At 39.5% G+C, this 16,478-nt stretch overlaps 1 protein-coding gene across 35 annotated transcripts in view, besides 3 other annotated features; it reads right to left on the bottom strand.

Moving 5' to 3' along the window:
* CCSER1 (coiled-coil serine rich protein 1) overlaps positions 1-4,665 on the bottom strand; it is a 1,477,902-nt gene extending 1,473,237 nt beyond the window's left edge. For 30 of the 35 annotated variants that reach the window (XR_001741218.2, XR_938733.3, XR_938734.3 and 27 more), the window contains exon 1: positions 4,228-4,665. The gene's annotated coding sequence lies outside the window, so the exon portion shown is untranslated. Of the gene's footprint in view, positions 1-3,396; positions 3,522-3,573; positions 3,734-4,227 lie in introns of those variants that run through there. The other 5 variants (XR_007057924.1, XM_011531938.3, XM_047415678.1 and 2 more) reach the window with 2 other exon arrangements.
* Positions 3,548-3,797: a silencer, noted in NCBI's record as "silent region_15571". NCBI's record gives its function as "represses an Ori minimal core promoter by ATAC-STARR-seq in GM12878 lymphoblastoid cells {active_cell/tissue: GM12878}" and the evidence as "EXISTENCE:reporter gene assay evidence [ECO:0000049][PMID:35858748]".
* Positions 3,908-4,107: a silencer, noted in NCBI's record as "silent region_15570". NCBI's record gives its function as "represses an Ori minimal core promoter by ATAC-STARR-seq in GM12878 lymphoblastoid cells {active_cell/tissue: GM12878}" and the evidence as "EXISTENCE:reporter gene assay evidence [ECO:0000049][PMID:35858748]".
* Positions 13,045-13,284: an enhancer, noted in NCBI's record as "active region_21723". NCBI's record gives its function as "activates an Ori minimal core promoter by ATAC-STARR-seq in GM12878 lymphoblastoid cells {active_cell/tissue: GM12878}" and the evidence as "EXISTENCE:reporter gene assay evidence [ECO:0000049][PMID:35858748]".

Genomic DNA, 16,478 nt, shown 5'->3' with positions numbered 1-16,478 from the left:
TAATCTGAAAGTAATTCCATTTGGTTATTTATTGAAAGTCATGTCTAATATTTGTGCAATTTCTTTACTGTCACCAAAACATACTTCTGGGGTGTCATATTGAATGTACAGGCTCAAAGTCAACTCAGATGTTTCCCTTTTATTCTTGAAATGAAGAAATGCATTTTAAGCAGTTTGTCTAAAATCAACCTATATACACAAAGAAAAAAACAACTAAGTTTAGAGACAGGTCATGGTGTTATTGTTAATACAATTTATTTATCAGAAGATAGTTAAAATAGCCATAAAATTGTTGCTAAAATTCTAAAATTTTCACTATAGGCTCCGTATCATAGCTCTATATTTATGGCAAATAATATATGGATAGATTAACTATTATGTGGCTGCATACAATAACTTTAAATAAAATCTAATCTAATAGATTCAATAAATCTAAGAAGTTTAAAATAAACTATTATATGAAATATATTAATAGACAACACATTTTATATGAAGAATAAAATGTTGAGTATTCAATAGATGCTCACTATTAATACTGTTATTCTTTTACACATCATCACACTTCTTTAGAGCAAACCTAAAAAGATTTGCTTAGGGAAATACCGAAAACACCTCACTATAAAGAGGTGTGCCACTTTTACTCAACACATTAGTGAGATGTGGATACATTTAAATATTTAAAGTACATATTCTCTACAAGAACTCTATTGCACTACTGTAGTAATACAAGTACATATTGTCTATTAAAAGGCAATATAAGCCAGGCGTGGTAGCTCACGCCTGTTACCCCAGCACTTCGGGAGGCCGAGGAGAGTGGATCAACTGAGGTCCGGAGTTCGAGACCAGCCTGGCCAACATGGTGAAACCCCATCTCTACTAAAGTAAATACAAAAATTAGCTGGGTGTGGTGGCGCGTGCCTGTAATCCCAGCTACTCAGGGAGCTGAGGGAGGAGAATCACTTGAACCCAGGAGGCGGAGGTTGCAGTGAGCCGAGATTGCGCCACTGCACTCCAGCCTGGGCGACAAGAACGAAACTCCATCTCAAAAAACAAACTAACAAACAAAAAGACAACATAAAGCTAAAGATTTGTCTTCTTAAATGTGTAAATATTAACAATTAAATTCAAGAATAGAATGTGGGCAGGGCGCAGTGGGTCACGCCTGTAATCCCAGCACAGGAGGCCGAGGCGGGTTGATCATGAGGTCAGGAGTTTGAGACCAGCCTAGCCAACATAGCAAAACCCCATCTCTACTAGAAATTCAAAATTTAGCTGGGCGGGGTGGCATGCGCCTGTAGTCCCAACTACTCCGGAGGCTGAGGCAGGAGAATCACTTGAACCCGAGAGGCTGAGGTTGCAGTGAGCCGAGGTAGCGCCACTGAAATCCAGCCTGGGTGACAGAGCAAAAATCCATCTCAGAAACAAACAAAAAAAAAGAATAGAATGTGTAGAAGGATGTACATCCAAAACAGACTCAACCTGCACTCTGCAAAATATCCAGCAATATCTTAATTTATATCAAAACAAACTTATCTTCCCTTATATGTTCTTTTCTATTATTCCAGGAGACTTGCATCTTATACCTTATATTTTTCTTATCCACAATGTACTAATCCTGCTTATCCTTTAACATCAAGATCAAGCAAGTCTTACCCACCCCCGAAGCATTCTCAAACAAAATCCAGTATGAAATGTTATTGTCATGTTCTGAACTCCTGTAGTACTCATTAGACATGTAATCTCTTATTGTTACGGGTTGTTAACTCTACGCTCAAGCATGAGCATCAGATTCCTCCCACATGGCAAGTAAGTTCCTGAAAGACAGGGAACAAGGAATCTCCCGTTCCTCCCCAATGCCTAGACAGTAGTACTTTGCAAACGTTAGGCCCTTTATTATGAGCATTATGATGAGTAATAAAATGCAATAAAGGGTTGAATAACTATTACTGTAAAAATATAACAAATTTTTCATTTTCTACTTTGTTTTATCTAAATTAACATTCTATGGTATAAATAATGTATCTTTAAAATAATAAACAGTTGCTGATTCTCTTAACTGTCAAAAAACAAAATACTCATAAATAGGACTTTTAATGATTGCAATAATACAGTTCATCAATTACATTTTTTAATTCCCTATTATATCTATGTTCAAATAGTTTGGGATAGTTGAGGTAATAACCCTCCGAATGGGGTTCTCCATCTGAGTTCTAACCTAATATTTAAAGCTGCACATGCTTCCGTGTTGAAAATGTATTTCAAAGTAATATAAATCTAACAAAATCAAAATATCAAATCCTTAACTCTGCTTTGTTTTTCAAAGAACAGGACTGTTTAGGAAAGCAATAAAACAATACAAACAACAGTTGGTTTGTTTTGATCAAAATAACTAATTAATTTAAATGAAGACAAATCACTCTGACAATAGGTTGACCAACTTCTCTTTTTTCTCTGTGAAACTATTGAAAGTGTGGTTACAACATGGAATTTCAATATTTGAAAAACATTGTCTTGGCAGGCTTTTAGAGACATTTCAGTTTGCAATATTAAGGATACTGTCCTACTACTAAACCCAGTCACAGTTCTATAAAAGTACAGGTTGCTACTTTTAAGAGAAAACATTCATTTTATAAGCACCGTGACAGGCACTGTCCCAAGGCATCTTTAAGTTTCAAGTTACGTATCTGGAACATGTACCTGTTATAAAGCAAACAGAAAGAGAAACCAAGACAAATTATATTATAGCCTAGATTACCAGTATTTTAGGTCTTCCCTTAATAACCAGTTTTGAAGGAACCAGTGATAACTGACCCCCACCTAGGTGTCCTCTTATCCGTTTTCCCTAAGGCTGTTAATAAAACCAGCTTTACTTTAAACGTGTACACATTATTTTTAATAGTCCTTGAGGGGCAGAGAAGGGAGGATGTGTGTTACATTTCAATAGGAAGGTATTCAACTGTAAAGATTTCAGAAATGAAAGCTGTTGAAACCAAGTAGGTATTTTCTGACTTGTAAGTCCTACTGACTGCCTGAAAAGGTAAGAGGGGTGGAGAAGAGGACATAAAAACATTAAAGGGCAAAGAATCTGTAACTTCTAAGAAGTATTTTTTTCTACCTGTAAAAATATGAGTTTTTTTTTTACTTCATTTCATATTCCATGTCCCACGAGAGGAAGGGGAAGCATAATTGCTTCTAATTCTGAGGCAGGGAGAGGAGAGAGAGAGAGAGAGAAAGAGAGCAGTTCAGGATACACTAAAAGGAAACCCCAAGAAATTTCACAACTCTTTGCCATAAATAGCCTTTCTTCTCACTCTGGATACCTCCTCCTTTACATCAGCAAGGCTCAGCCTCCACGCACGCAGAAGCACCATTCACAAATCCCTCCGTCACCCTTACCCCTTGCTGGCACCGTGTGTACGAGTCCCTGGGACACAAGCCAAAAGTCGAAGGGGCCAGGGGGCCACATGCGGTTTCAGCTTACGGCTGACTTTCTGCTCAGGTGAACCAACCCACTGGTTAGTCCAGAGCGCGCGCGCGCGCGCACACACACACACACACACACACGCACACAACCTGGGGCCCTTGACGCTCCACCACAAAGCAAGTGGTTCAATCTAAGTCGCTGCCGTTACTGCTGCCTCTGGGCAGGGTCTTGCTTCCAATCCAGGAAACTGGCGCCAGAGGACAAGCAGGCGGAGGCAAGAGGTGGTCCCGGCCCCGCACTGCGGTTCCTCCGGGAGCCCCTGGCTCCCCGCCCCCTCCTCCCCTTCCCCCTCTTCGCCGCCGTCCCCGCCTCAGCACCCGCAGCCCGGGGCGCCAGCGCTGACCGGTCGCCTCTACCTGCGGGACGCGAGTGGCGAGGAAGGGGAGCGACCCGAAGCCTGCGCCAACTCTCGCCGCCTTGGCCAGCGCTCCGCATCGCCCTGGAGCGGCCGCCGCGGCCGCAGGCAGCAAACCACGCAGCAGCGTGGAGGAAATGGCCACGCGGCGCACTGGGAGTCGCGGGCCGGTGGTGAGCGAGCCCGCCCGCCTCCTTCCCACCCCGCCCGCAAGGCCAGGTCTCTGCGCCGAGCACGCCGGGCCTGGGCGCGCGCTGCTCGCAGGCGGCCCCGACACGGCGCGGTCACCTGCCGAGCGGTCATCCCCGCGTCCGCCTGCGGCCGGCCCCGCAAAGCGGCGACGCGACGCGCGACCCGCTGAGCGCTGAGGCACCAGGGGCGTTACTACCTTGAGGGCTCCGTGCGCTTGTTAAGGCTCCTCCCGGGCACTCAGGGATTTATGTCTTCGGGGCACGGGGGTGTCCTTCCTGGTCCCCCTCCTCTGCCCTCCCTCCCCTTCTCGGCTGTTGGGCTCCTCTCCACTCCCAGTTGCACAGAGTCCAGCTGCGTTATTTAATAATCCTCCTGCTCCTCCTGCCTGCGCCAGCGGAGCTGCTCTGCCCGAGCCACCGCTTCCCAGTCAGTCATGTTGAGACAGAGAGAGAGAGAGAGGAGAGGCGGATTGGCAGTAGGTCGGCGACTATTTGTGGTGAGGGAGAGAAGAGCAGAGCAAGAGGAGGGCAGGGGAGGGACGTGGGGAGGCGCTTCCAAGTGTGTGAGTGCGCGGAGTGTGACTGTGTGGGGAGCGCGAGATCCACCTCCCCGGCAGGCCGCGCTCCGGGGCTGTGAGGAGGGCGGGCCCAAGCGCGGCCTTTATACAAGGAGGAGTGTGGTGGGCTGGGCGGGGCGGCTTGGAGGGCGGTGCCCGGCCCACTGCGTCCGCCGGATTCCACGCACGCATCCTCTGGCATCGACGCGCGCACACCCACTGCTGGCCCGCTGCTGAGTTTTCATTTTAGGGGAAGCAGTATCCCACCGTGCTGACCTGGCCTTTTCCCCCAGTCCATCCTAGTGCTTATGTGGAGTTCAAGTGCATAGGCAGGTCAAGACTAAAGAATAGGGGAAGTCTGAAGAGACGTGAAGTGACTGCGGGGATGCTGGAAATAAATGCACTGTATTTCTCCTCTCCAAGGTTCCGATGTTATCTTTTTTCTCTTCCTCCTGTAAGGGAAGGAATTACCAGATTCTTTCGCCGCTTTTCCTTCTCACCCACACAATTCACATCCTGACAAGTGTCTTCATTCCTCAGTAACAAGAAAAGAAACCTAGCTTCTTTCCTTTAAGCAGGTCACACCTCCCAGGAACCATTTGCAGCAATCAATTCTGTAAGATAATGCAAGCACTGCGACTGTGTCCGAGAGTGGAACTTGTGTTCCTACAAGGAAGGCCCTACACAATACAGGCATTACAAGAGAATCAGCTCAATTTGACATCATTTGACTGATGGTCCCCTGGAGAAAATTTGCCAGTTTAGAAATCGAAAAGACTTTTGATGCATGGTTCTGTTGCCTACATAATTTATTTTCCCCTGATCCTCTCTCCCCTTGCACTGCCTCATTTCCTTTCAGGTTTACACTAAGTACTGAACTCTTTCCCATCCATCCCCTTCTTTATCTCCACTCCAGTATATTTATGCCTTTAGCAGGCAATACAGCAAATGTAGTGCATTTAATTCTGTGTGTGTGTGTGTGTGTGTGTGCGCGCGCGCATCTGTTTTTAACCCATTCTGGTAGAATGTAGGACCATTTCTAGGTAGAAAATGCATCCCCAATATTAAGTTTGTACGCCTAACATCACCTCCCTTACCTTCTGCCCAGATTACAAGATGTTGTGATCAGGTGCACTGAGGTATTGAGAAAAACTTCCAGAAATCAAGTGATCTACAGTTTTTTCAAGGTGTGTTTGTGTGTGCGCGTGCGCGTGCGCACGCTCTGTGTAATCTAACTGGCTATGATCTAACTTCTGAAATGTGGTTATATTGGGAATAAAAGCAAGATGTATTTTTTAAATGAATCTGAGTGGTCAATGTATATTACAGCATGGGGACAACTCTGCTTTTGGGAGACAATTATAGGAAACATTTTTCATAAATTAGACAAAAGGAAGATAAGATTTAGGAGGCTACGGAGGAGGCGGCAAGGTTGACAATTCAGTTGTCCTATCTTCTTCCATGGCTTGTGACCATCGTACATCTTTAGGGTTTTGTCATATGCTGGCACCTTATATATTCTCCACATATTTTACCCTTTCACATTGATGTTCCTGTCTCGTAATTCTTCAATCTCTCATACAGAGTTTAGCAAACATTAAAAATGATTTAAGCATGTGATCAAGACCTAACAAAGAAGTGATATTAAGGAGTGTGATAAAAACAAAGTGATATTGGAAAGGACAGCAAGTTGGGACAGGTGCGTGAATATATCAATAATATAAGTATATAGGCCATTAAAGCTTCTTTGATTAAGCACTGGAAAAATGAATGGACTAACAAAGCATATTGGGATTGATAGTGTGCCCTATGGGACAGCTATTATTATTTCCTCAATTTTACAGACCAAGAAAGTTAAATTTTGAAAGTGTGTGTAGATAACCTAAGATCATACAAAGAATAAATAATGTCAATGGAACTCAATCTGTCTTATTCTACTGTCCATATCATGTCCCATTCAGAAGGCCTGGCTTACTTAAAAATCTCAGGACTTTCCTTAGAGCTTTTGTTTATGAAATAAGCTGACCTACAATCCTTTGGCATTTTTCTTCTACCTCCCTCCTTCTTTTTACAATGCAAGAGCGATTTATGAAATGTTAATGTTTTTTAGGGCTGGTCAACAATTTAAAAAGTCTTAACATACTTGAACTCATAAATGGAAAAAGAAAACTTTCCTACACAGTCCTTTCTGAAAGAAACCTGGTGTCATTGTAAAACGAAATTTTGTAGAGGAGATATTACTGAACATTTGCATCTAGTGAATACATAGGTGGTTTGAGAGCCGTAAACAGACATTTTAAAAGGTTATGTCCTCCTAAAGGGATGATACTCAATCATATTCAGCAAGTTTGTGGTGTTTTCAGTGTCCTGGTTCTCTATTTAATTGTCATTAATAACAATAATTTGATTATGACTGTATATTGCATACTTCAAAATTATATATTAGACCAGATATTTCAAGGGCATTTTTGGTAACCACAAATGATAGTAATTTTTACACTCTCAGTTCCATTCATAATTACTGAGAACCATGAAAAGCTGTCAATTGCCTTTATTCATTACGGTATTACAGGAAGCCAACATTTCTTGCTTAATTTTCTGACAATTTTTCTTTCCAAATAAAGGCTAGAATTTATATGCACTAGACCAGAAAGACATGTGAAACATATAACTTAAAACATACTCCTGAAAAGTTTATTCATTTTAATGATTTTGTATTTTTGTTGAAAAAAATCTGCACTAGAAACCCCATTTATAAATTATAATGAACCACATTTTAGAAGTTAAGTAAATGAATTATTCTCTTTTAAGATTGTTTAATGTTTCAAGTAGAATTCCCCACTTTGCAACACTTTCAATGATACAATTTTTGTTGTGATAGGAAAACAGAAAAAGTTAATGACTCTTTCCAATTTGTTCATTTTAATCTCATGTATGCTTGCTGCTGTTTGGTTCCCAAGTGCATTTAACTGGCAAGTTCAATGAAGATTTGGCATTGCACCATTTGATGAAAGCAGAAAAATTAGGTTGCCAATTACATATGTGCCCCTTATGTGCACTGAATTCCCACTGAAGTGATGAGCCAAATTAGAAATTCCTCAGTAGTCATACCTAAAAAGTAAAATTATAGCCCAGGGAAGGAAAGGGAGATTTTTTTCCCCAACCCTATTACTAGTCTAAGACATTTTAGAAAGAGAATTAACTTTAATACATTTGTAAAACAATGTTTGTAGGTGGAGTGTCATTAAACATTTTTAAATTGCATTTCTTTTGTTCTTTCCAAGCTATTTTATGTTTCTTTGATTTACTTTATACTCTATCGTGATTAGCCAATCATTATGAAAAAATATATGAAGACCATTTCCCCTAGTTGTTTTAGCCTAATGGAATACAAAAATTCAAGAAAATATTACGCATATGTTATTAGCATTCTGGATTTCTTTCATATTACTAAGAAGTAAATTATCCTTCTGTGATGACTTTTGTAATATGAAAGTGGCATCATTAGTACCTTAGAGCGACAGGACTAGTTAATTGACATCAAGGCTAAAACTGGCACTTAGTTCAAGACAAGGACTGATGAGAAAGTGTGAGATAGGAGATGTGCAGATGGACTCAGCTGCAGTTCTAGGTCCAGAGAGCACAGAAAAACTCAATCTTAATGTAGAAAACTCTTAGCTGGGCAAGTTTCCAGGTAGACAAGGCACAGTAGACAAGACTTTAAATAAAATTATTCTTCAGATATCTGATAGTGGTGACTATACTTGGTAAATTGTCTTTTTGCTGTGGAAATTCTGCCCAGTGGCAGGACAGCAAGATCTATTCATGTGGAAATCTAGGCAGAAGCTAAACTCAGGTGACTGGGTCAAAGCACTCACTGCATGAGCTGTCTTTGGTCTGGAAACTCCACAAGACACCTAGGATTCATGCTGTAGGACATACTTGGGAGCAAGACTATAAAGGTGAATGTAAGCCACTATCCTTGTATCTTGGCTATCATGTCCCGGATTTACCAAATGATGTAATTCTAAGCCCATTTTGTGGGCTAAGAGGATGGATAATAGAGGACATGGAGAGGCATCTCTTACCCAGCAACTGAAGTAATCTTGAATTTCCAGGAAGACTACCCAGTTTAGGGAGCTGAAAAAATTTCGAATAGTGTATAGATTTGTCAAAATAAAAATGATTTCCATTTTACATAACGCCATGAGCCCAGAATTTCACAATATAAGAGTAGCTTTATATAAATGACAAAAACTAGGAAATGCATTTTTCACATTTAAGTGGTGAAATGTAGTGAAAGGAGGCAAGAGCTAACATTAATGTTCTCTGAATTTAAGCCTCTCTGTTTATTAAGGGAGGAAAACTGAGTTAAAATAATGTTTATTAACATAAAACAAAAAATTTTGTAAACAGATTCACCATTAGAAACTTTTATATCATTTTCACATCTTTGTTTCTCTTTATTTTTTTAATTAATTAATTGTTTTTTTGGAAACAGAGTCTCACCATGTTGCCCAGGCTGGTCTCGAACTCCTGGGCTCAAGGGATCCTCCACACTCAGCCTCCCAAAGTGCTGGGATTAAAGGCATGAGCCACTTTTCTATTTCCAAATATAACTAATGAGGTCTTTGGGAAAATAACTTTAGGATTTCATGCTTTCACATGGAATACTTTTTTATGTTTGAATACAGTAGTTCTCTTTTATCCTTGGGGGATATGTTCAAAGACTCCCAGTGAATGTCTGAAACCATAGATAATATCACACACATACACACACACACGGAATAAAAACATTTATATATACACATACATACACACACACATATATATTTGTGTGTGTGTGTGTGTGTGCGTGTGCGCTCTGATAACCAAGAGGGCTACTAAATGACTAACAAGCAGGTAGTATGTACAGCTGGCTATGCTGGACAAAGGGATGACTCACGTCCCGGCGTATGGAGTGGGAAGGACTGAGATTTTATCACATTACTCAAAATGGCACACAATTTAAAACTTATGAATTGTTTATTTTTGGAATTTTCTGTTTAGTATTTTTGGACTGCAACGTTCCTCAGGTAGCTGAAACAGCAGAAAGTAAAACTGTGGATAAGGGTGAACTGTTGTACTATTTTTTCTGATTGTAATATTTTTAAAAAGTTAACCCAATTAATTGATTAATTTCTTGATGGCTATGGGTTATATAATCAAAGTGATTTTCTTTTAATTGGGCTTTTGAGTTTTTCTATTATGATTGTCCCTAGGTATCTATGTGGGTTGTAGACATTTTATCAAAATGAATAGGACATTTTGTCCTATTTTTAAAATAAAACATCAGTTAAACCGTACCTAAAAATAGTGTATTGATAAAATCTGAAACTAAAACTAAATCAGGTATATAAATCATATAAATAGATACAGTTATAACCATAGAAGAAATGAAACAAACTGTAATAGTATTCTGGTACTACTTAGATATATAATAAAAGTAAACAATGCTAATAAAATAATCTAAACCATATTAAACCAGTACTATAGCAGGTTGGAAACTGGTCTTACCATCTGTCACTTTCTATACTGGCAGTTTCACAAATGAGATCTCTTTTTGGCAAAACATCACAGCAGGAGATACAGACATGTGAATTGTAATTAAAATGTGAAAAATGCATTTCCTAGTTTTTGTCATTTATATAAAGCTTCTCTTATAATTGTGAAATTCTAGGCTTATGACGTTATATAAAATGGAAGTCATTTTTATTTTGACAAATCTATACATTATTCGACCAAAATTTTAACTTTAGAAATGAATGCATATGCTTTCATGAATTGAAGTGTGGTTTCCTTATGTCTGGTTCACTTAGTAGTGAGATTCAATTATTTTTAATCATCCAAGTATAGAAGATGAAGAGGAATAATTTGTATATATTTATGCAGTCTAGATCATCTTAAGGACTAATGTTATGGCTTTTTATATTTATTTATCATGATATTCTGTAAATAAAAACAATATTGAACTTTTTCATTTTCTGGAAAAAAAAGCCAAAATCATACACTTAACTCTGTAATAGAAAAACTGCCTGCAGTTTATATCTGGGTGAATAATAGTTTTATAGTTTCTTAGCATTTACATATCAAGGAAAGCAAAATATGCAATGTATGAAATGTGACTATTATTAATGTTACAAACATTAAGTGTTCAAGAAAACACTTGTGGTATATTTCAATTTTTTCAAGTTAACTAAGGTTAAAATAGCACATTTATATTCAAATAGCTCCCAATTTTTATTCTCACTGCCTATTTTTAACATCTTGGGAGTTTTCTCGAAATTTAAGTTAATATTAAAGTTAGCAGGTGTTCTTGACATTTATTATTCTGGGATTTATTATTCAAACACATTCATATCCCTGACCTACACTGGATGTAACAATGCTTTTTTTTTTAAATTTTTTTGCACTGTCATCATTTTCAACTTTCCCTCAAATGTTAACAATTTAAAAACAATGGATATTGAGATGGGAGTGAGTCATTACATCACCATGTAATCATATGTTTCAAATATGGCTATCACAAGCATCACATCTCATACATTTCTTACAATGTGATGTTGAAGATGCTCTGATTGAGTGGTAAGTTATGTTTCTCCCTCTTAAGCCTTAACAGACCTTTGTGATGGCCTTAACCAACAGAATATGATGAAAATTATGTTATGTAGTTTCCTAGGCTAGGTCATAAAGCTGCCATTTATTTTCTCCTTGTTCTCTTGGGACTCTTGCTCTTGGAAATTAGCCACCTGCTGTAGGGAAGCCAAGCAGCCTGTGTAAAGGCCCATATGAAGAGAAAGTGAAGCCTCCAGCCATTATCATCCCACATACAATGAGCACCAATTTGCCAACCGTGTAGGTGAGCCATCTTGGAAATAGAACCTTCAGCTCTCAATCTGTATACTCCAGCCAGCCATGTGGAGCGGAGGCAAGCTGCATTAGTTTTCTATTGCTGCATAGCAAGTTACCACAAACAAAATGGCTGAAAATAAATGTCAGCTTGTTAGATCACAGTTCTGTAGGTCAAGTCTAGCAAGGTGTGGCTAGTTCTTTGTTCAATATCACAGGCCTGAAATCAAGGTGTTATTTAGGCTGAGTTCTCATCTGGAGGCTCTGGGGCATAGATCCACTCCCAGGCTCATTGTTCAAAATTTAGTTTCTTGCAGTTGTAGGATTAAGTCTCTATTTGTTGACACACAGCTCCCCCCATTGTCAGCCAACAACAGCAGCTTCAAATCTTCATGCTCCAAATCTGTTAGTTCTTCTTCCACTAACCAGAGAAAACTCTCTGCCTGTAAAAGTGTCATATGATTATTTTATTAATAGGCCCACCCTGATAATCTCCCTATCTTGAGGTCAACTGTGCCATATAACATAACTATTCACTCAGGTAAAATGTATTATGTACTATGGTAACAGGTTCTAACTACATTGAAAAGGAGGGGATTATACAAGGGTGAGGGTTATTTGAATTCTGCCTATTACACAAGCTTTTCCCTAAGTCTTTAAATCCCACTAGGCTATAAGCCAGTTGTGGGCCCATGACTTATTTGCTTGTTATTATATCCCCAATAACTTGTAGAAGCAAAATAATGGGTGCTCAGGTGAAACAAGGATTGGAGTATGTGACTGTGGATTTATTCTTTATATCATTTCCAGCAAATCATATATAATAGAGACACATTATTGTTATTCCTTTGAGAGCCTTCATTTTCCTTCAGACTACTGACAGTCTTTTGTCTCTGATTCTTTCATAAGTTATCTTTTTTTCTGAACTAACTTTAAATATGAATGTTGCAGTCTAAGCATAATGGAGGAGTATATTCACTAACCTGATACATGAGAATTATTTCAAGATCTATTTTAATTGTTCATTTCTCACCAATATTGTATTGTTTAGTAGTAGAAAACATCTTTATTTGGAATCATAGAAAAGTAAAATTTGAAGGAACCTTAGTTATTCAACAAATTTGTACTGAAGATACTAAACCACACAAATAGTAGGGATACCAAGATGGGAAAAATCTTTTCCTATTGAGATGGTCATTGTAGAATACAATATGAAGTACAATACAAAAGGTACACAAGCAGTTACTCCTTGGTTTCAGGGAAATCAAAACCTGATCCTAGATATACTGCAACAATCACAGTAGCTAACTCTCAGTCTTTATTTTACTTTGGCAGATTCTGGATTGGAGTTGTTTTATACTGTGTCATCTTGTGAAACTTGTGTTTCCTGGAAATCTCTTCCTTTTATGGTTCTGAATTAGGGTTGGCTGGAAGAGAAGTCTTCATGAGATTTGGAAGAAAAAAATTAAAAGGGCAGCTTTATTACACATTGAAGATCAGTGTATGGAACCAGGTTCTGTTTTTGCTCCTGCTCCTTGCTGATCTGCTAGCTCACCTTACTGATTTGTGGCAGCAGCTGCATCTGAAGTTCCCTCCACTCCTGGGAGATCTTCTTAATCCTCTTAGAATGTGCATGTATAAATGTGAAGAGTGCCAGGAACTACTGCATTTTCACTTGTGTTGTTGACGTTGGAGGTGGCTAGAGACAGATGTAGATAGAGATTGTCTTTTGGGGTCCAAAATATCCAGTTTGTCCCAGCCAACCCCAAGTCCACAGATAGATTTTCTTTACAACTTTCAGTTCTGCTGATACTAGTGGCTTTCAGCTAGCCTTAGTTGCGTGGCAACAAATTTGCATAGACATCTTTCAAGCTCCCACAGTTGCGTAAGGTCCAATCCCTGCAATAAATATCTTACTCAATATCATTTATATTACCTCTGCTTCTCTGACGGAACATTCACTTACATGGATATATTTTGTAGAAATAACCAAAACAGCTCTGATGACTGGAGGTAGATGATGGGGAAAGACAAGAGACAAAGGTGAGTATTTCATAAATCAACCTCATAATTTTGATCATCTATTTGAAATATGTATTTAATTTTAAGCTTCTAGGACACCACAGTTCCTTGGTTTTACTCCTAACTTTCTCTCTCTGTAGTTTCTACTCTTCTCTGCTAGATTCTACTCACATCCATGACCTCTATATTTAGAGTGTTCCAAGACTCGGGATTTCAATTTCTGTTTTCTATCCATTATTCATTTCTTTGGTGAGCCCATTTAAGCTCCGAGTTTTGATGTCATCTGAATGCTGATGACATCCAAATTTGTATCTCCAGTCCTGAACACCGAACTCATGTCTAACTGCCCACTTGACATCTCTGTGTGTAGGAGCATCTCAAACTTAACATACTCAAAGCCTCCTGGAATTCCTTTCAAAACCTGTTCCATATGTAGTCTTCATTATCTCAGGCAATGGAAACTCCATTCTTCCAGTCATTTGTGTTAAAGACCTTCAGATTATTTTTAGCCTTTCTTTTTCTCTTATAATGTTCATCTAATGTGTTCCCAAATCCTATTGGCTTTATCATCACAAGATATGCAGTATCCAACCACTTCTCAAAACTTCCACTGCTGTGAACTGGTCTAAGCCACCATCATCTTTTATCTAGGTTATTTCAAAGGCCTTATAACTGATATCTGCATCTACCTTTGCCCCTCACAGTATATTCTTAACTCTGCAGACAGGGTTATCACCTTAAAATCTGTCAGATCATGCCACTGTCCTGCTTCGAATCCTCCAATGACATCCTGTCTCACTGAGAGTAAATGTCATTACATGACCCATCCCTCACCACTATGTATTGTTACAGTTCTCTCTGTGGAATCTCCTGCTTGGTCATGGAGGGGTCCTTCCTTCCTTCCTTTCTGACTTTGCTCAAATGTCACTTCATTGATGCCTTCCCTGGCCATTACATGTAAAATAGTAACTTCACCCCATACTTACGTTCACATCCCCTTCCAAGCCCCCTCACCTGCTTTATTTTTCCTTGGCACTTATCACTATCTAAAACACTGCTTATTCTATGTATTTATTCTTGTTTAATGTATTCATCCTCCACTGATATAAAAGATACTGAAGACAGAGATATTTCCATTTTTGCCTGTGCCTAGTGGAGTGACTTACACATAGGACCCTCAATAAATATTTGTTCAATAAGGAGAATAAGTCACTGATAAAACCACAAAACCATATATGCAATGCTAGAAGCACATACAAGAAGTACAACAGGGGGATGGAGAAGGTTTCAAATGCTCTTCGTTGACTTTTCTGAAATGCAAGAACAAATTCTTGCCATTTTGAACACATTTTTAAAAGATTTTTATATGGGATTTTTTTCTTCTGCTAAATCTTGGTGTTTATGAGTCATGTGGTAACTGAGAAATTTATCTTCACAGTGAGTCTAAAAGCAGATGGCATTCATTCATTTATTCATTCAGTCCATGTATTCAGAGAAGCAGAACCAATAGGGTATAAAAATATATACACACATATAAACCTGAGAAGATTTATTATGGTAATTGGCTCACAGGAGTATGAAGGCCAAGAAGTCCCATGATCTGCCATCTGCAAACTTGAAGAACCAGGAAAGCTGATGGTTTAATTCTGCGCAAATGTGAAGGCCTAAAAACCAGAAGCTTCTGAGGGCAGAAAAGATGATGTTCCAGCTCAAACAGAGAGCAGCTTTACCCTTCCCCCCACCTTGTATTTTTCTTCTATTTGGGCCCCAAACAGATTGGATGATGTCTGCCCACATTGTTGAGGTTGATCTTCTTTATTCAGTATACTGATTTAAATGCTAATCTCTTCCAGAAACTCCCTCACAGACAAAAAGTAATAATGTTTTGAGTCATGAGTAGTCCTGCCTAGTTGGGTTGTTGTAGTTTTTCACTGACTTTAATAACAGGGCATGATAATATTAAGAGACACCCTAAGGGATCTCCTGTATTTCACGCATGCTCCTACTTACTACCATTGTGGAGTGGTAGTCCATTTCCCTTGATAGTCTGTATCAATAATCTCAGCCAACACCACAGCTTTCTTCTAGGCCTGTTGACTCAGAAGCATTAGAGGTTCAAAGTGGCCTAGTGTTAGTTTTAATTTCCAGTTCAATTAAATTATTGTTGTGTCTCCTGGTGGAAGCATTCTTCTCTCTGGAACTAAGACTTCTAGGCCAGCAGAACATAAATTCTTGAGAACAGGAAACAAAACTTTTTTTAGTGAGTCTCTAGAGGTGATGGTGAGTGATGCCACTCCCATTTCCCCACTGATTCTGGACCTAGCTATTGGAGAAACAGGACTTTATATTGAATGATGATTCAGAGCATATACAGCCTCCTGAAGAATCTTGCTCCAGCCCTGCAATACATTGCACCTAGCTGGCACTGTAATTGAGTCTTCAATAGGCCATTTCACTGTTCTGTCAAGCCACCTGCTTCAGGATGATGGGGAACATGGTAAGACCAATGAATTTATGAGCATGGGCTCACTGCTACACTTCTTTTGCTGTAGTGTGTTCCTTGATCAGAAATGATGCTGTGTAAAGAACCATGCTAATAGATAAGGCATTCTGTAAGTAAACAGAAACATTGCAGAGAAGGCAAACCTATAAACCCATATCCAGGGTGTCTAATCAGTAAGGCTGTCCCTTCCATGATGGAAGTGATCCCATATAACCAACCTGCCACCTGGTAGCTGGCCGATCTCCCCAGCAAACTGTGACATTACCACGGGTTCAGTGTTGGTCTCTGCTGCTGGTGGATTGGCCACTCAGCAGTGGCCATATTCAGCTCAGCTTTGGTGGGCAGAAGTCCATGTTGCTGAGTCCATGCATAACCTCCATCCCTCCCACCATGGCCATGTTTTTCATGAGTCCATTGGGCAGTGACAGGGCTGACTAGGGAAAACCTCACTGATATTCTTAGAATGGGTCATCCTAGC

The sequence above is a fragment of the Homo sapiens genome, chromosome 4, assembly GCF_000001405.40.
Source record: "Homo sapiens chromosome 4, GRCh38.p14 Primary Assembly".
Taxonomy (NCBI): Eukaryota; Metazoa; Chordata; class Mammalia; order Primates; family Hominidae; genus Homo; species Homo sapiens.
This window is presented reverse-complemented; position numbering and strand designations above follow the sequence as displayed.